This window comes from Homo sapiens, chromosome 1 (genome assembly GCF_000001405.40).
Source record: "Homo sapiens chromosome 1, GRCh38.p14 Primary Assembly".
Lineage (NCBI taxonomy): Eukaryota > Metazoa > Chordata > Mammalia > Primates > Hominidae > Homo > Homo sapiens.
Window position 1 is genome coordinate 169,959,472 of NC_000001.11, and position 21,304 is coordinate 169,980,775.

The 21,304-nt window shown below is 32.2% G+C and overlaps 1 protein-coding gene across 9 annotated transcripts in view; it reads right to left on the bottom strand.

The window, feature by feature from the left end:
- The window catches only part of KIFAP3 (kinesin associated protein 3), a 163,856-nt gene that overhangs the window by 38,143 nt on the left and 104,409 nt on the right, over positions 1-21,304 (bottom strand). For all 9 annotated transcript variants that reach the window (XM_024454186.2, NM_001204516.2, NM_014970.4 and 6 more), the window contains 3 exons: positions 18,614-18,712; positions 13,042-13,127; positions 1,575-1,764 (listed from right to left, as the gene is read on the bottom strand). In XM_024454186.2, coding sequence (XP_024309954.1) covers positions 1,575-1,764; positions 13,042-13,127; positions 18,614-18,712 — 375 coding nt within the window. The remainder of the gene's footprint in view (positions 1-1,574; positions 1,765-13,041; positions 13,128-18,613; positions 18,713-21,304) is intronic.

A 21,304-nucleotide genomic window follows, 5' to 3' on the forward strand; every position in this document is an offset into this window, starting at 1 on the left:
TGTATGAAAATATACATAACTGTTTTCTCACAAAAGCATAACCTATACATTGTAATTAAAAAGTATCAGAAAAATATTTAGGATTTTCACTTTAAGAGGTTAATTTAAATTAATTTTGGAAATGTGGTATAACTGTTTAGAAATCTGTTTTGAAATTTTAATTGTATTAAAACAACAATGATGAATACTGAGGTGGTTAATAGCTTTATCTGGTTTTGGAAACTGGTAATTGATTCATTATGAAAGTTAGCTATCAATCTTCAAAGCAAGAAACTTGATTCCAAGAATATTCTGATTTCTATTAAAAAAATTCACATCATATATATTTTATATCATCTTACTTCATGAATACTGAATATGTAAGGAACAGCTGTTTGCCATTACTGAACTAAGAAATTCTGTTTGGTTGAAATTAATGATCTACTCCATCTGGTTTGAAACACAAAGCAGCATTTCTTAACTACTGTAAAGTTCAGTTAGGAAGAAATCTATTTGATTTTCAGAGTAAAGCATAAGTTTTCCATGATTTAAGTATCTATACCAAATACAAAAAATAATACATAATATCTATGGAAAATTTGCACAATACACAATTAAGAAAACACATGAATGAAAGTGTGAGTGGTATTATTAATGTGAGTACAGTGATCAGATGTAATAGTAATTTACATAATCATCCAATCATTGATCAAATTGTTCAGATAAAATGAGATAATACACAAAATATTTAGAGAACATATATTGAGAACACTAAATGCATAGTAGAAACACATAGTAGAAAATAAGGTGAGTCACTAATTCAGATATAATCACCTTAATGATTTTTATCTTCAACTTGCTAGAGATTTTAATTATTATAGAAATCCTTTCCTTCCTCTCCTCAACTAAATGACTTCAATGAAGTAATATTAATGTTGGCAACAGTACAAAACAGTGAGAGCTGGAATATGCAAAAACTTACCAATCTTTGTGTCAAACTCATCCTTGGAAAAAGGTAGTAATGCAGAATCAAAAAGGTTATAATACATGTAAGATTTACATAAATATTAAATTTTACCTTAAAAACATTAGCATAGTTTAGAAAGAATAAACAATTACTCTAAAGTGCCTAAATCGTCCCCAAAGTTACCATATAGAGTTTGGTAGTTTGAAACTAAAGCAAAACCATGGCAAAATTAAACTGTTAAGATTAAATACCTTGGAAAACAAATGATGAATAAATTATGCATTTAATAAATGCAGAAGAAAAATGAATATTACATTTTTGAACGGAAGTCAGAAATCTTGAAGTTGTCCATTTAAGTTACACATTCTAGCAATTAATAAACATCTAAGAACAATTAATTTTCCTTGCTACAGCGTTTTAGGGAGATTCCATCAAAGACTAACTTGGAAAAAAAAATGGTAAGTTAATAGGTTTGCTTATTATATATAGACGTTACATCTAAAATCATTAGCAGACCATTCATAAACTAAAAGAAGTGCTTATTAAGCTTGGGAATGTGCAAGGCTGGCCGACTAAAATCTCTATTCATAGCATATAATAAACTGTTTACTTTCGCTTTGGTTATCACCTGAGTTGTAGAAAAGGTCAGGTCTTTCGAGAATATCTCCTTCATGAATGTATGGCTCAATTCGATCATCACCATACAAGTACTGCTCACTCTCATCCATCTGACGACTCTCTACCATCTCCAGCCACTGAGAGTTATGCCAGCGAAACTTTTCACTCTGAATTTTCTTAGCCCATTCTTCATCATATTCCTATTGAAAACAAACAGTCAACTGTTATTATATAAGCTAACTCACTTGGCACTCAGACGGCAATATTTTTATCTCTTGAGAATTTTGGGGGCCCTTCACTGGGTCAGAGGAAGCACTACAAATACCTGTTCAGGATTATTTTATATAATAGCCAACAAAAAGCAATTACATACATAAAGAAGTCTGTGTTTGTATTATCGATCACTAATGGCAATGGCAAACACTAGAAAAGTTTAAATTTCATAAATTCTTATTTAATATTACATAAATATTGCCAGAATTTAAGCGAGCAGTAAGACTTCAGTTTCCAAAGAGTTCTTGTGACTATAATTAAAGTTGACCTTAGAACAAAATGGATTTCAATTGCACAGGTCCACTTATACACGGATTTTTGTTCCACCTCTGCCACCCCTGAGACAGCAAAACCAAGCCCTCCTCTTCTTTCTCCTCCTCAGCCTACTCAATGTGAAGACAATGATGATGAAGATCTTTATGATGATTCACTTCCACTTGGTGAATAGTAAATATATTTTCCTTATGATTTTCTTAAAAATATTCCTTTCTCTAGCTTACATTATTGTAAGAATACAGTATATAATACATATACAAAATATGTGTTAATCAACTGTTTATGCTATTAGTAAGGCTTCCAGTTAACAGTAGGCTATTAGTTTATGTTTTGGGGGAGTTAAAAGTTATACATGGATTTTCAACTGTGTAGGGGGATTGGTCCCCTAATACCTGTGTTGTTCAAGAGTCAACTGCATTTGTGGCACTAATGACAGGTAGTTAGCATAAAATGACATATTTTGCTGTATCTTTTAGTCTAGATAACACTGGGGGAAGTACTGTTAAAGTATTGTTTTAGCTGCTAAAATGGTTTACTAAAGAAAACAAATATCAGAATTGAATTTAATTTTTGTTCCAACCACAAATTAATGATCTTATCTTATTTAGTTGTAATTATTTCTTTAAATGCTTCTTGTTTTGATCATAAACTCCTATGGAGCAAGATTAGGTTATTCACTGACAGGTGTATCTGTAACACTTGTCAGAAAGAAAGTTCTTGGTGAATGGTTTTGAAGGACAAACAGGCAAATTACTGTAAGCTACAGCAGAACTTCTCCATCTACTACTTGTCCCATAGGTTGCAGCTACTACTGAGTAGTGTATTGCTTTAACAATGGACAGCAGAAATGATAGCATGGATAGAAAATAAAAGGCTTCAGATATTTCATGTCATTGTTAGAGTTCTTGGTTTTAAATTCCTCTGTCATATCTTTAAACACATTTGGTTACAGCTGTCTAAAAAGGAGTTAGAGGGATGCAGGGTAATAGCACTATTAAGGTGATCACAAAAACTAAGAGGTAGACCAAATATATATTTTAGTTAAATGCTAAGCAATTTTTCAACTCAAGCTGAGACTCAAATCAAAATCACAATCACATAATACATTTCTGGGATATAAAAATAAAATCTGAGACTTTATAATAAATGTAATTATTATTGTAATTTTCTTGTTAAAATTTTAACTTGTTGAAGTTTCACATTATCAGCAAATCCTAGCAGTGTCAGTTGTCAGATTGCATGTGCTATAATGTACATTTAAAAAATATATAGCTGCTCCCTTTCAACTGAAGTTGGGGAAGGTAGAGGATATTTTTTGACTATAGTAATGCTAGTGACAATTTTGCTACCAAATTACTAAACTTGATTTTCTTTTTAATTTTTATTTTAGGTTCAGGGATACATGTGCAGATTTGTTATATAGGTAAACTGTGTGTCATGGGGGTTTGGTGTACAGATTGTCACCCAGGTAATAAGCATAGTACCAAATAGGTAGTTTTCAGTCCTGACTCTCCTCCCACCCTCTACCCTTAAGTAGGTCCTGATGTCTCTTGTTCCCTTCTTTGTGTTCATGTGTACTCAATGTTTTAGCACCCATTTATAAGTGAGAGCATGTGGTATTTGGTTTTCTGTTCCTGTGTTAGTTTACTTAAGATAATGGCCTCCAGCTCCATCCATGTTGCTGCAAAGGACATGATCTCGTTCTTTTTTATGGCTGTGTAATAGTCCATGGTGTATATGTATAACATTTTCTTTAGCCAGTCTACTGTTGATGGGCATTTAGGTTGATTACACGTCTTTGCTTATTGTAAACAGTGCTGCAATGAACATGCATGTGCATGTCTCTTTATGGTAGAACAATGTATATTCCTTTGGGTATATACCCAATAATGGGACTTCTTTTCTTTTACCTTTTTTTTGTTGTTGTTGAGATGGAGTCTTGCTGTTACCCATGCTGGAGGGTGGTGGCACGATCTCAGCTCACTGAAACCTCTGCCTCCTGGGTTAAAGTGGTTCTTGTGCCTCAGCCTCCAGAATAGCTGAGATTACAGGTGCCTGCCACCACCACCTGGCTAATTTTTGTATTTTTGGTAGAGATGGGGTTTCACCATGTTGGCCAGGCTGGTCTTGAACTCCTGACCTCAGGTAATCTGCCTGCCTCGGCCTCCCAAAGTACTGGGATTACAGGCGTGAGCCACCGTGTCTGGCCAGGACTTCTTTTCTAATAGTTATCTATTAACATTTCTATTAGTCATCAATCTATTTCCTAATATTATTTTTTAAAATTAAGTTGCATAAAATTAAGAGCTATCATAAACATTATGTAAAAATAATAAACATTTTTATTCAACTGATAGTTTTAATAATTGAAGATATTAAATTATTTTCAGTTGATAAAGATCAACTGAAGATCTTTACGTCAGTTAAATCTGATACTAAACTATACTTGAAATAGACTATTCAGATATAAATAATAAATCCAAATGTCATACCTCCTTAGTATTACTGATGTGGTCACAGTGACTGAATGTGATGGTAATTTATACAACCACCCAATCACTGATCACACACAAATTATTCTGCCAAAAGGAGATAATACATATAAAGCATTTAGATAACTTATATTGAGAACACTTAATGTTAGCCATTACCTTAATTAAAGTAACGGCTCTCTGACATATGTGCCATAATTATCAACATCTTACAAATGAGAAAATGAGGCCCTGAACACTGAAGTAACTTGATCCAGGGTACACAGCTGGCTGTGGCTACTACAGCACTGTAAGCCTCGGGCCAGCAATGTGGAAGAGGCAGTTAAACAGAGGATAAATGAACATTTGTCAGGGTTCCTGCAGAATGGATTCTTTATTGAATGAGAATATAACAAATAACCCCCAGGGACAACTTTCAGTTCTAAGATTTCGTAAGCAAGCAGTGATATGGGAGGAAGTCATTGACCAAGGAGTGATATTGGAAGAAGTAGCTTCTGGTCTGGTAAGTATATTAATATTATCCTATCGTATTCTCAATCATGCTCTCACTGAGCTGGCCATACTTGGGTGGGTATTGGGAAAAGAGGGAGTTGAAAAATAATATGCACAGAGATGTTGTTTACAAGCAGTTTTGTGGTTCACTTTGGGCTTCCAAAATTAAATAAAATACCAAGCGATACCTCATTATGTAATATAGGCATATGATCAGCTTCAAAGTAATTTAGCCTAAATGCTAAATATAACTGTGAACCTCTTTAAGATTCATATAACTTCACAAGAGTACACTTTTTGTTGCCATATGTGTGTCTGTGTATGTGCTCAATTAAAGTTAGCTGCAGAAAGATACTGTCATATTAGAAATGGCCAGATAATTTACAAAGAGTGATCACATAATCATACAGTAGAAAGAAAGGATAAATTTATTATATCCATTAGGGTAAGACATTTAATACATTAAAAAGCAAAATGATAATGTGGACAAATTGTCCATACTAATTGGCTTTTTTTCTAAAAAATAAGTTGGTTGCAGGTTACCAAAACTCTCAGAATATGCTTTATAAAATACTAGAAATCCTAGCAAGTCCACATTAAATACAGAACTAATTTGAATGTTATTTTTTTAAAGAATAGTAAGTAGCTTGTTTCACTTGGGAAGAGGCATAAAACTAATTTTTCATTTTGGTAGAAAAATTTAAATCTGATTGAATTATCTCAACAAAGAGGTATTCCTTCAAGGAAAAAGAAAAATCATACGATCTGATGATTTCATTGTAATTTAAATTTCAAGCATATTCATTCCTGGTGTAAAACAGGGGTTAAAATTCAGTCAAGTGCCCAAAGCATATAAAATATGTGGTCTGCTATTCCAGTAAGAGTAAAACTTGACTCCTACTAATACCTGTGAAATGTTACAGAGGTAGGTAATATTTAAAATAAAAATATCCTTAAACTACATTTCCGCAAAATGTATTTAGCCTAGGAAGTAATGCTTTGCAAAAACAAACAAAAATCCTGCTTACTCCGAGTTATCATTTCACACCCTCTTTTAAGATTATCCTAATTTAACAATAACAAAAATATATCTAATAAATGTAAAAATGTGTAACAAAGAAGTTTCTTCATAAACAATTGCCCTTCTAACTTTAGCCTTCTTATCACCCTACGAGCTTACATCATTATTCTTATTAATAAACGTATACATACAAGGCTCAGTTTAAAAAGAGATTATCAAATCTATTTGACAAAAGTCCAAACACACAAACCAAAAATATCCATGAGCATCCATGACTAACTTTTGATATTTTCTTGGTAAAACTGATCTTCCAAGGCAGTGAGTTAGCACAGAACCTAGCACCAAATGTAATGACTGCCCTTACACATTCCTTTAAAATTTTCACCTTCTCTCTTTTATCAGTTTTTTATTGAATTATTGTATAGAACCAGTGCATCTCTTGACATTATAAGCCTAAAAAGTATGGTAGCAATGATACAGATTGTACTATCATTTTCTTACTTAAAATAATTGTATTCTAACTTTTAAGCATTTCGTACTATAAAACAATAGGTTTAATCTCTACGACTAACATACTAATTAACATGCATTATTGTTTACAGGATCACAGTAAAAATACCACGGTTATTTTCTCAGCTCTAAAAAAGAAGCAAAACAGCTCTTCTCTCAGGAAATACGACACAGCACATGTTATTCTATACCAAACTGTGTATTTAGGATATTGAAAATTATATCTTGCAAAAGATCCAACAATGATTCCAGAATCCTACTAGGATGAATCTACTACATTGGCAAGCAGAGTTTTCCTAAGAGGTGGCCTTGAAATTAAATATGTGTGTATGGTTCTTTGTTATAGATCATAGACGGAAAATGGCAAAAAAAAAAAAAAAAAAAACCTTGGCTTAACAGTATGAAAGCCTTAAAAGTTTTTCCATTTAAAGTCTTAAAGAGTCATAACATAATTTTGAAATAATATTTGGAGTTTCATGATTATAAAAGTAATATTTTCATTGTTGAAAATGGAAAATTACAGGAAAAATGCCTATAAAAACTTTAGCAAGATAGAACCACAATACTATATCCCACCAGTTTTCAATGACTTTCTTAACTCTAACATCAATGGATAACTGGAAAATATTTTAAAATATGTGTTTAAAAAATTTACAGGCTGAGTATGAAATATTATTGAGATATTGGACTTGTGCCATAAAAGTTTGCTCTAGTTTGTGATAATGTTGCCTCAGGTTTTCAACTGTTTACCAAATAAAGCATCTTAGAATGAAATATGCCATAAGGAACACAATATTCATTAAAATATTTTTACTTCTCCTTTTCCTTAGTAGTAAATGTTACTTAGAATCAAATGAAATAGCATTGTTTTGCTGTATAATGCTGACCATTTATGTTTATGTTTCTGAAAAGGTTTACCAGATTTCTTGAAAATGAAATATTTTAGCTTATGGTTGTTGAGATTCTATTTACCAAGTACAGTAAATTAATAGGCTAAGACAATGGTTTTAGACTTCAGGAAAGGTTCAAAAGCACATTTGGGGGACAAATATTAAAAGTAAATCAACTGCCACCTACTATACCTGTTTTATTAAAGGGTCATTTGCAGACTAAAAAATGTGAGAAAGAATCTCAAAGTAAAGATACACAGTACTTTCCCAAAATAAAACATGTTAACAACATTATATCCCCCTCCTGGACAAAACTTTCCTTTTTTATTTTTTTCCCTTTTCCATTTCAGTGACAATTTGCTGTATCACATTCCTATGGACCATCATTCGGGAATCTCTATCTTCTCTATGTGCTCTGGGAATCCTCAATGAATATAGTTTAGTAGCCATGGCAAAGTGAGTTTCTTTGTGTTTCAGCATCTGCATTTATAGCTATTAATAATATGGTACTGCATAATATAAAGAACATTGGATTAGGAGTCAGGAGACCTGGGCTCTGGTTCTAGCTCTGCTACTAACTGAAGTATGCAACCTTCTAAAGGTATTCTAATCTCTCTTGGTCTCAGATTCTTCATTTGTAAAATGAAACAAAACTAAGACTTACTTAAGCTCTAACATTCTAAATAAAAACCTATGATTTATACCATGAATTCATAAAGCTGTTGAAATAACTATCCCAAATAACTGAAAAATACTGGTAGGATAGGAGTTTCTTTTATAAAGTTAACAAGCAATTCTTAAATGAAAACCCAATGTCAAAAAATTTTAATCAACATACATCATTAAAATAAATTTCTCTAACCCCATCCACCAATCTCTAGTCCCTTCTTATTATTCACTCCCCTATACCCCCAGCCCCATATCAGAAAATAATTATGAGAATTCAGGGATATCACAGCTGAATCACAGCTAAGGTATGTCATCAAAACCTATCCAAAGCCTTTGTGGAAATATTCTAGGATTATAGTTTTTTCTTCATTTTTGAAATACTTCTTTTCACAAGGAGTACACCCTGGTGTCTTGGCTTTGAGACTTGAGTCTATTGTGTATTTAAAGAAAAACATGCTTTGTTTTTTATTTCCTTCTCTTCTTAGCTCCTGACATTATGATTTTAAGCACTCAGTATCCATAAATTCTAAAGTGTCGTGAAAGACTGATGGTTTGATTTTACATGGAATGTGCCATCCTTTTTGAAGTCCTACATCATTTTGTTTACTAGTTAACCACCGAAACATTATGAAGCCTTAACTAGCCTATTATCAGAGCCTGTTCACTATCAGGAAAACTCTTTGTCACTGGCTTCCGTCACACCTTGTATCTGATTAACACACTATAGGATAACACAGAGCTACATAGATCTGCTTTGTGTTCTAACATAACTGATGGAAAACAGATTTTCCTTTTTCCTTTAATGTGGCAGCCCCCTAATTGAGACTGTAATATGGTTTATTTAATATAATTTTTCATACTAAATTAAAGCAAGTCTGGATTAATTTAGTTGCTCATTAAAGTTACGGTGGTAGCTGCTAACAAGATACTTTTTATATCTTAAAAAATATTTATCCCAATAATATTGATAGACATACACATAATTTAACATACATAATAAAGTTGATTTTTATGCACATACTATCTATTTCTCAATAAGACTGCCCCAAGTGTTGACCTTTAGTCTTGACCACAAAGTAAAAGAAATAACTAAATAAAATTTATTTAAGTAAGAAATAATTTTTTTTCTTTCATACTATGCATGGGTTCTTTTAAGTCCAAATGTTGCCAATTAAAAAAAAAAAGTAACATGCATAACAGGTAGGAAACACACACATTTATGTATAAAATTATGTGTGTATATGCTTAAATTCTAACAAGTTGGAAAAATATCCTAAATGTCCGCCTTTTGGTTTACGCAATATAAAGATGAACTATAAAAGAGGGCTGACTAAATTTATCTCATTAAACCCAATTAGAGTATATGGGATTAAGAAATAAAAATCAAACTTACACTGAGAAATAAAAGAATTTACCAAGACTGCAAAACAAGCAAGAACCAGTTCTGCTTGGTCTGGAAAGAGAAAATTTTAGAAATTTCTGCCAACAATTCACTTGAAAATCACTACTCCCACATCCAACTTGCATGCCAATTAAAAGTGACCAGCATTTACCCATGCCCTGCTCTTGAAAGCTTGAGTTCTAATGCTAACCCTAACCCTATAAAACCTTCTCTGTAACTTCTCTTCAAGACGTTGTAAGATACTTCTTAAAGTGTTCTCCCTTACTGGCAAGATTATTAATAAGACCACCTTTTCTCTGACACAGGCTTCCTTGGTTATCTTTGCAGAGACCATAACAACGGGTGATGTAGAAGCTACATTTAAAGCTATATTGGTTTCTTTCCTTTTAATAAACCAGCCTTATTAAGTACAATTTTGTCTGTCTGGAATGAAGGTAGCACCTACTTTTCCAAGTTTAGAATATTAGAGCTTGCTATTAATTCCAGATTATTAAAATAAAAACAATCTGCCCATGATCATAATTAAGAGTTATTAAAAAAGGAAGAGGTACCATTCAAAATCTCAGTGACACGAACCTATGTCACTACTAAATCATACACTGGCTAGAAAGATGACAGAAATCACTCTTTCACCAGAGAACCTGGTTATATCCCTTTTCCTGTAAACACCCTGTAGATACAGTGTGCCGTTAGTACAAATAATCTAGTGATAGGCCATGTAGTAGTACTGCTTCTGGAATGCCAGTTCACATGTTTAGAGAATAGTATCTCAGTGTTCTCTGGGGTCTAGATTGTAAATTTTTATATTAAGGAACTTTGTATTGTTGAGTTTTGTGTTCTCAGTGTCTTTCTTAGTGTTTGGCACATAATAGGTGCTTAATAAACATGTATTAAATGTCTGACAAACCAGAAATATCAGGGGAGGATTTCTGAGGTTCTCAAATACTTCACACAAAGCTGAGGATGTACTGAAGGATACAAATCTAATTGAGTTTTTAGAAGTTCTCTAGATCGGAGGGGTAGGTGATGTTCTTCCCTTCATGATTCCCATGATTGCCTTCATGGAAGAGAAAAAGGCAATGGTCAACTGACTTATAATTCCCTTGGAAGACCAACTAGCTATAGGCTTCTCTCTCCTTGCCTTCCTGCTCCTCTTTGTACCTACACCATTCCCTGCCTCCCCAAGCTACAAGTAACGTAGTCACACAGGTGACAATGTGCTGATGAGGCCACAGAGACTGTATCATGTAAACAAGTGATGTAATCCTCCTTGGTATCCAGAGTACTGCCACCGCACACCTGTTTCAATTCATCAGTTGAGGGCTTGGGCCCAACTACATTAAACAAATCTTCACTAGTATAATATTTGCATAATTTGGGGGACAAGTACTTTACTGCAGAAAGTATATTTCCCCAAGGCTTTCAAGGCATCTAATTTTTCTTAGTATTATTCTGCACTGTCTGTCTTCAGTGGAAGATAAGTTTGTTTTCTTACAGGTAAATTGCTTTAAGCTACAAATATTCCCATTCTGTCTATATATTTTTTGGATTTTTTATTATTATAGAATACAGTCATGCTGAGAATACTAGGAAATCATTATCTAGAGGTAAAAAGAATTTTAAGACATCATCCACTCCTCTCCTAAGCAGGTTTCTTATAATTTAAAAAGTTTGTTATTTAGCCATTACTAATGCTAACTGAACAAAAACTTCACATTCTCCCTTGATGGTCTTTTTAGTGAACACCATTTCAATGCAGCAATGGAAGCAGAAGCCAGAATTTTCATAGGTTTAAAGTGCGGAAATGAAGGAAGTAAAATATAGACAGCTGTTTGGAAACTTTGGATCTAGAAAGAAGGAGAGCTAAGACAGTATCTAGAAGAGAAAAGAGACACAGGGTTGGGGTGACTCCAGTTTTAAGATGAGAGACTTAAGCTCAGAGTTTAGAAATTATTTGAAATAAATTTCTATTTTATAATAAATACATTTGTATTTTATACAAAATATTTTTAGATGAAGGCTGAGTTGGCCTTTGAGAACTATCAACTTACATTCTAAACCACATACACTTAATCTGTAAATCTAAACATTATCTTCTAGTTACCTTTCCTAGACAGAAGGTAGATAAAAAGTATGCTAAATGTAATGCATAACAGACTGACAACTCCCTCCTTTCCTCGTTGCTTCAAGTAAGATAATCACATACAGAACTATAAGAAGTTTTTTGTTCTTATACTATATACTTTATATGCAACAATGGCACTGTGATCTATTAGAAAATAGTACATGAGCCATGAAATTATTCTCTAGGCACATTAAATATTCTGTATTCATAAGCCCTGTGATCAGTGACCTATGTGTGAAATGTCTTCATAGAATGAGGATTTAATATGTACAGTTTCTCTATTCTGACTTAGAAATCAAAGCTAAAATGTCAACGTATCCATTTAGTTCTACACCAGTAATGGATACTTAGTCAAATCCAAAAAACAGATGATATCAAATTAAGATGAATTTCTGAAATAAAATGTGAGAAAGTGACAATGAAGTTCCTAACGGTGATTGTCTAGTTTCCTGATTACATCACTAGCAGAAAATCCAACTTAGTGGATTTCCAACTAAGTTATTGATTTTTAAAAAAAAATGTTATTCTGATCTGTTTAAAAAGCTAAAGTTAAACTTTTAAAACTACTGAGTAGGCTACATTCAATAAACTTTCTAAAGGTGAGCCAAATCCAGTTAGAAAAAGAAAGCAACGTGGTTGTGCGTAGCAGTATATGCCATATATAAAAAATACTCAAAATAATCGAGTATCTGGTACAGCCCTGGTGCAAGGCCCAAATCCAGGCAGAAGACTGTGGTAGGCAGCAAAATTACTGGCAATAAGTCTGCATGGTTCACAGTTTCTAACTCAACACTTAGATCATCTCTTTGATCATATCCCTCTAGTCATGTATCCTTTAAAAACCTCCAAAACTATGAATAACAGTAAGATTTTTGTATTTCCCATCATTTCAAAGCAACTTAAAGGACAACTGTATGTATAAAATAAAACTATCAATTAAGTGAAAAAAATAGCTGATACAAGATTTGATTTATTAAAAAAATTTAATGGCCAAACCACAAAATTGATAATGTTTTGACAGAAACTGTCTTCCAACACCCCACTCCTATACAATAATTTATCCGAAAAACAAGTGACTCTGTGATGACATGTAGATCAGAACTCTGAATACCTGTAAAACATCTTTAAGGAGCCGATGACTTAAAAATTGAAAGCTAAAGAACTTACTAATGTTTAAAAAGTAAATTTAGTATCATTGTATATCCTGAATCTTACCAAAATACAAAGTTGGGTTTACACTGAATGCATTGTTTAAAATAGGTTTACAATGACTTTCTCCCCCAAGATGAAGTCAATTATACTTTGTGTAGAAAAAATAATTACTTACCGCTATAATATCTAATGTATTATCACAGACCTTTCGGATTTCATTATTCTTATCATGCATTAGGTCTATGAGATATGCTGGAGCCTCTGAATAAAAATGGTTAAAGAAACAAACTACATTTGATATTGTGGCTAGTCAATAATACTACAAAAATCTCATATTTTTCTAAATCTAAATTCTAAATGGAAATATAACCCAAATTTTAAAATAAAATCATTAATACAAGATGACCAAAAACACTTAATGTTTCATTTGTTTAGAAAAACAGGGATAGTAGGGACATAAAAAAGAGAAAAATCTAGATGAAAATGGGTAAGGAAAACAAAGTCAGTAAATCTCAGAAAGTACAAGACCACATTTCTGAATACATGAGGATCATGAACATAAATGAAGAGGAAGCTCTATAGTTGTGTAGCTATAAATGCTTCTTGATCTATCCTGCTCTCCTAAAAATTCAGGAAAACTAATTTCAAACAAAACTAACAAGAGAGATTCATGGTCAAAAAGAGAAGGCATGATAAAACATTTTCACATAAAAGAAAGCTGCAACCTAAAATATCAAAAGAGATAAAAATAATTTAAAAAATAGTGTGTATATATATATATATATAAACAACACAAATCAGGATTAGAAAACCAAGGGAAATAAAATAATTCAGAAAAGAACCAAAAACAAAAGCAAAAATCATTTTGGATATATAAAAATTAAGATAACAAAAGAGTAAATGGACACAACAGATAAAATTCTAAGAGAAACAGAAGCAAAAGGAATAAATTTTAAAATAAAAATAAGTGAAAAGAGATAAAAAGATTAGAAAATGACAGATATTAGACTAAGAAGATCCAACACAATAGAAATCCCAAAGAAGAAAACCAATGTAACAGAACAAAACAAATACTAAAAACTATAATTCAAGAAAACTTTCCTGAAATTAAAAAAAAGGTGCACATTTGCATACTTAGAAAAATCAATGGAGGATGATATACCAAGTCAAATTCTAGTAAAAAAAACTTGATATTAAAAAAAAAAAAAGAATACTTCTTTGGTCTTTCTGGAAGAAAGGCCAAGTTACTTATAAGGAAAAGGAAATTAAATTTTCCTCTGACTTTATCACAGATAACAATAATTAGACTGACTACAGACTTCTCATTGGCAGTCCAAGGGAAAGCGAAAAAACATCTTCGAATTGCTGGGGGAAATAACTGTCAACCTAGAAGTCTATATTCTGTTAAATTATTATTAAAGAGAAAAAATAGTTATTTTCAGATAAAGACATTTATTATCCATAGATAATATTCACTAAGTATAAAAGCATATACTTGATTATGAAAGAAAGTCAGCTCGAATAGAGAAATGGAATTCAGGAGACAGTAAATAAGGAAATTGGTCAACATACTGTAAACTTTAGATAAGCACTGTTATTTAAAAACCAATAATTAAAATAGTGATTAATTCTGAGATGTTACAAAAGGGTTATAAAATGAAGTGAAATTATCATATTGGATAGCAAATAACATGGAAAATAGAAGTGGAGATATTAGACTGTCAAATAGAAACATATACTCCTTTAGAACTTGGTGAACATGAATGTTGAAATTTAAGTTTGCATCCCAAAAGAAAAAAAATGGGATGTATAATCACAAATAAGTAAGACAGAAGGGAGATAATAAAGCAAATTCAAATTAATAAAGAAACCTTGGTGAATCTAAAAGAGGAAGTGAAGAAAAAAGTTGTGACCTTGCATCAATACTATTAATTGGTCTTAGTTAAAACAATTTGAAAAGAGTCCACACATTTCTACTAAGAAACTCTAGCACATGTACACAAGTACATACCATTATTTGTATCACTGATTACACCCAAAAAATTTTATCAACAGTATCATGACTAGTGGCAAAGTGATGACTTAACTCATTAGTGTTACTTACTATTTAAACTGTTGTTTTTTAAAAATAGGTTTAGGGGACCCAAGTACAGATTTGCTACATGGCTATATTGCATAGTGGTTCTTACTATTTTTTTTTAGGGTTAAAAAAGATATATTTAAAATGTAGAAAAAATATATAGAATAATGTATTTGTGCATTTTTTAAAAATATGTAAAAAATATGTATTGACTGTCTCTTTTCTCCATTGGAATGTAAGTTCCATTAGGGCAGAGACTTTGCCTATCATATTCACCATAGTACCCCAGGTTTTAGATCATAACAGGTACTCAATAAATTTTTATTTAATGAATAAATAAATAATATCTATTCTATATACTTCACATGGTTTTGTGAGAATAAAAATTATTAGAAAAATCTTTAAAATTCTCAAGGGGAATCTAAAATAATCTAGACAAATGTGGATTATAATCTTCCCTCAGCAGCCATGGGAGACTGGTTCTAGGATCCCCCAATGATGCCAAAATCCACAGATGCTTAAGTCTCTAATATAAAATGGTGTAGTATCTGCATATGGCCTATGCTCATCCTCCCATATACTTAAAATCCTTCCTAGATTACTTACAATACTTAATAAAATATAAATGCTATGTAAATAGTTGTTATACTGTATTTTCTGTTTTTTATTGTTGCATTTCTATTCTCTATTAGAACTTTTTTTGAATGAATTTAATCTATGGATGGTTAAATCAGCAGATGAGGAACCCCCAAATAAGGAGGGCCAACTGTATTTTATTTCCCATACTGCAGTTGTTGAGATCAGCATTAGTTCTCAATTCTTATGTGATTGAGTCACAGTTGAGAGTCAGTTTAATATTTTAAATATCTGAATATAAATCATATATTTATCTAAAATAAGTCTACACTAGCTATCTCATATATCAAGTATTCTGTTCAAATTATATCAAATAATATTGATCAAACTTTCTAACAAAAAATAAGAAAAGGAATAAAATATTGCCTAATAGATTTATTTCAAATATTCATATTGGATTCATAGGGAGAATTACAATAAAATGCTAAAGGTTATGGTGAAATAAAATATTGCAATAATTTTTAATATGTAATACATTGTAACATGACAGATTTAAATGCCATTGACATCAACAAAAATTCTGTTTTTTCAACTCCAAAACATTTTTTAAATTTATTTTTTATTTTCAGTTTTTTTTTAGAGACAGAGCCTCGTTCTGTCATCCAGGCTGGAGTGCAATGGCATGATCATAGCTCACTGGAGCCTCAAATTCCTGGGCTCAAGTGATCTTCCTACCTCAGCCTCCCAGGTAGCTGAGACTATAGGCATGCACCAGAATGCCTGGCTTAGAAAACATTTCTGAGTTTTGTATTTTGGAAAAGCACTTCAGTGATCTTTATCCAATTTTAAGACACAAAGTTTTTATGAAAATTTTAACTCAGCAGATCTTTTATCTCCCTGTTGCACCATTATCAACATGTTATAATCTTTAGGACAACTATTCAAAAAGTATTGACTCCAGATTTAGTGACATAAAACAAAAATTAAACTTGGGGGAAAATGCAAAGAAAGTTACACTGAAAAGAAAGGTCAAATAGGAATTCTCTTAATTCTGTGGGCTTTGATAATAAGGTACTAAATGTACATTTTAAACAGACATCCCAAAACAGAGGCAGTAACACTTATTCACTGTGTACAGGTACCTGGTAGGTACTTTAAATACTTCACTTTTTAGTCCTCACAAAAAACCCTATGAGATGACCTGTAAATAGGGTGGTATTTCAAAGAAGTTACCTAGAAAAACTACATTTTCATTTTACTGTTTTCTGTAGTGGCTTCTATAGTTATGTAAATTTTAAGTAATTCTACACATAAAATACATCTTCAGAGACTCTCAACCCAAAAAAGCATATTAAAGGTTCCAAGAAGACTCTGTAGCAAGAAAACTTGTTAACTTTAACTCAGTGTTTCCCAAACTTATTTACTATCAGAGAACCTTTTTTTTTTCATTAAGCAGCTGTTAATACTTATGTTCCATGGAATACAGCTGGGGAAAAATGAATTTATTCCAATTATTTTAACACTGTTCAAAAGCATATTTGGAGTTTATCTTTCTGGGAAAGTCAGTTTATAAACCATATTAAAAATATTTATTACTTTCTGTACTGTTAGCTGTTAAGGCAGAATAGTATTTGTATTTCGATAGCCCATATTAATATTAACATTTCTCAAATTAGACTTGTTATTTACCAGACTTGACTCCTGGAAACTCTATATGGTTCCAGAATTTTTAATTTTTTTTGAGATGGGGTCTCCCTCTGCCACCCAGGCTAGAATGCAGTGGCACAATCATAGCTCACTGCAGCCTTGACCTCTCAGGTTCATGTGATAATCACTGCTTCGGTGTCCCGAGTAGCTGGGACTACAGGCATGCATCACCAGGCCCAGCTCATATTTTATTTTTTTATTTTTAGTAGAGATGAGGCCTCACTATGTAGCCCAGGCTGGTCTCAAACACCTGAGCTCAAGTGATGCTCCCACCTCAGGTTCCCAAAGTGCTGGGATTACAGGCATGAGCCACTGTGCCTGGCCAATCACACTGGATTATAATTTTATATTTCTTGTATATTATACTTGTCTATCTCTCCAACTAAACTATAAACTCCCTGAGGTCAAGGACTTTCTTATATATCTAACACATAAGCCAGTATCTGTTTAGATGGTCAAAGCTTGAGAAATGTGTGAATAAATGAATGTTTAATTATATGTAGTAAAAGAGTTAGCAGATATCAAAATTTTCAGCTTAAGAGGCTGTGTAGATGACAATGTTGTTATTCACAATGAATACAGATGGCAGGACTGCTTTGCTTATCAGGAGAGGATGTTACCAATATTGAGTACCCTTTGGATGCGAGAATGATAAACTACCAGGTACTAAGTACCTCTGTGTATTGGGAACTATTACAGGCAATTTAAATCCATTAGTACTTACAACAATTCTACAAGGTAGGAGGTCTTTTTATTTTAATATTAACGTTACGGGCATTTTTTAGGTACCTCATTGTATCCTAGGGAGGTTAAGTAACTTTTTCCAAGGTCCTGCAGCTTAGTAAGTAGCAAAAGGTAATTAAAATTAGGGCTATTTGATTTACAATGCTCTTTAGGCTACAACATGCTATGCCCCTTTAGGTAGGTGGAAGGTATCCAAGAGGCAGTTAGCAACAAATGCCTAGGGCTCAAGATAGGGGTTATGAAGATTAAATAGTTAGCATATAGTTGGTAGCTGAACTCATGGAAATAGATGTGGTTTCCCAAGTAGGGTAAATAAGGTAAGATTAGAAAAGAACCAAGAATAGTCCTAGGAACCTCTGATGCTTACAGTGTGTTAATAGAGAAGGAAGTTCTGATATGTTTGTTAAGTTTCTTAGGAATCACAACCTGACAAGTTAATAAAATTGTTCTCATTATATTCTACCTATATACTGATTTGGGGTCAACAGCTTCCATGGAAAATAGGTTATCTTGTAAATTTATCTCAAAACTTAGTGTTTTCTACGTTATTTCAACATTTGCAAAAAAAAAAACAACTCAAAGATGCATCTTTTCTGAATATGTGAAATATTGTTATCTACGGTAAACACTGAAAGGATACGTGTTTCCTTGATTATGACGTCTCTTGTGGCTTGGTGGAAAACCATCTGGTAGAAGACATAAATTATCTGACACACAAATTCATCATCTTCTTGTTGAGCTGTAAATAAACAAAAAATTCAAATAAAGAATACTATGTTTATATACCAAATTTAAAATAATTGAGGGGAATAATATAGAACGAGAAAAACTAAAAGTGATAAGGAGACAAGCAAGCAGAAATGGATTTAACTTCTATGTTCCTAATGTAAAATAGTAACAGTTATCACCACTTGTTTTATTCATCATAAGAATTCTTTAAAGAATTCTAATTTGTAAAATAAACCTGGTTCTATTTTGTCTTTATAATGTTGACTTCTCAGGAGAAAAATAATTCTTAAAAATTATTATACCTTCTAAACTCTAAGTTTTTGGTGGAAATTGAACTATCATAAAAAGGTATTTCCTTTTGTTGAATAATGTTAAACTTTACAGATTGCATGAAATAATAAGTAATTTAGTTTCCATCTAATTAATTATAATAGTAAAAAAGTTACATAATCATAAAGGCTAATTAATAAACCTTTAATATCATACAAAGTAATTTACATAACAGCTGATGTCCACTGATTAATATGTAATGGAAAAAGCATAATTGCTTATAGAAATCTAACCTTAGGTAATGATTATGAAATTAGATTTAATAGTATAGTTTGCTATCAACTCTTGGTAAAAGTTCAATGACATTTTAGAAACAGAGTTTCAGGTCAACAGAGTATCAAACCAGTTGTGTAGAATAAATTGTGGGTCCCTTAAAGTTCAATTTGTCCCAAATGATCTCCCTCACTAACTTGCCAAAGTACTACTCTCCCAAACAAATTGGGCTAAATTTCTCACTATTAATTACTATCTTGGTATACAGTATTCCCTCACTTAATACCAATGGTTTTAATCTTGAAAATCTGTATATTTCTTAAAAAGAGTATTATAAAGCCTCTGCCTGTGATAATCTCATGTCAGAGAACACCAAAACATAGTAAAACACTCTGAGCTGGCTGTGTCAGATCACTTTATGAATATCTTAGCTCTCTTGATTATAATCACTATGGGACAGCAATTCCAGGATGCAGGTCATTTTGCTTCAACTTTCTTCAGCTCTCCACAAAATCTTCATTCTCACTCTATCAACTACGTGTCTTTACTTTTACCTCCCAACTACTTAGTCTTTCTTTTAATTATTTCTGATCTGAAAACTGACTGTGAGAAGAGTGTACCAAAGTAAATACAAATATGCTAAAATTTTGGGAAGGAATACTTCAAATATGGGGCATTATCTCTAGATGACCTATTAAAATGAATTATATTAAGGAACTTACAAATTAAATTAAAAAAACTCAAAAGAGAAAAATGCACAAAAGGCTTAAATAGGCACATCTTTTTACTGGCTATCCCTAAATAATCAATAAACATAAACAGGTGATGAACTTCATTAGTCATTAGGGAAATACAAATTAAAATCACAATGAAATACCAGTATGATGGCTACAATTGAAAGGACTGACAATGCCCAGTATTGGAGGTGATGTGGAAAAATTGCAGCTCTCTTACACTACTGGTAAGAATGAAAACCAGCAGAACTACAGATTGGCATAGTTTACTAAGGCCAAACACATACAAACTCTGTGACCCAGCCATTCTACTCCTACGTGTGAACCTAATGGAAATGAGTACATATGTTCACCAAATGAAAGGTTTCAAAATATTCATAGGAGCATTATTTATAATAGTCCTCCCCCCCACAAAAACCTAACTCTACTATCCATCAGTAGTAGAAAGGATAAATGGTGGTATGTTTATATAATAAAATATTATACATAACAATGAAAATGAACAAACTTTTGTATACAACATAGATGAATGTCACAAATATAAGGTAGAACAAAATAAACTAGATTCCACTTATATATTAAAGTTCAAAACCAAGCAACACTAATCTAGTGGTGACAAAATAAACTATCTTTTGTTCAAACTAACCACTTTGAAGGAGGTGGTAATGACTGAGAGGAGGGAGAAGAGGCACTTCTAAGGTACTGGTAATGCTTTATTTTCTTACATGAGTGATAATAACATGGGTATGCTTACACTGAAAATACATTGAGCTATACTTACAATTTATGTATGTTATTACATATTTGAAAAGTCTATTAAAATTAACACAAAATGCACATATATTATGCCTAGTACAAGATGAACTGAGATGAGAGTATCTTCTTCAGGGATCTCATATTAGCATTTTTAACTTCTATACTATTCGCTAGTTATGATGTGTAAGATCCTAGAGAACTTGGCCCTAATAAGATTCAGATAAATTTTGTATGCAATATGGAGAAGAATGAGCCCTGCCCCTTAAGAGTAATATAAATGCAAGGGGAAAACTCTAGGCCTGCAATGTCAAATATTGTAGCCATAAACCACTGCAGCTAATTAAATTAATTCAAAAATTCAGGTTATCAGTTGTGACAGCCACATTTCAAGTGTTCTACAGCTACATGTGTTGGACACCACATATATAGAACATTTTCATCAACTAAGAAATTTCAGAGGACAATAAATTCGGATCTAGAAGGGAATATGATGTTTAGAATCAGCTTCCAAATGGACCTTCCAACTTAGAAATCAAGTTTTAAAAAATAAGATTTGCACAAGAGAAGAG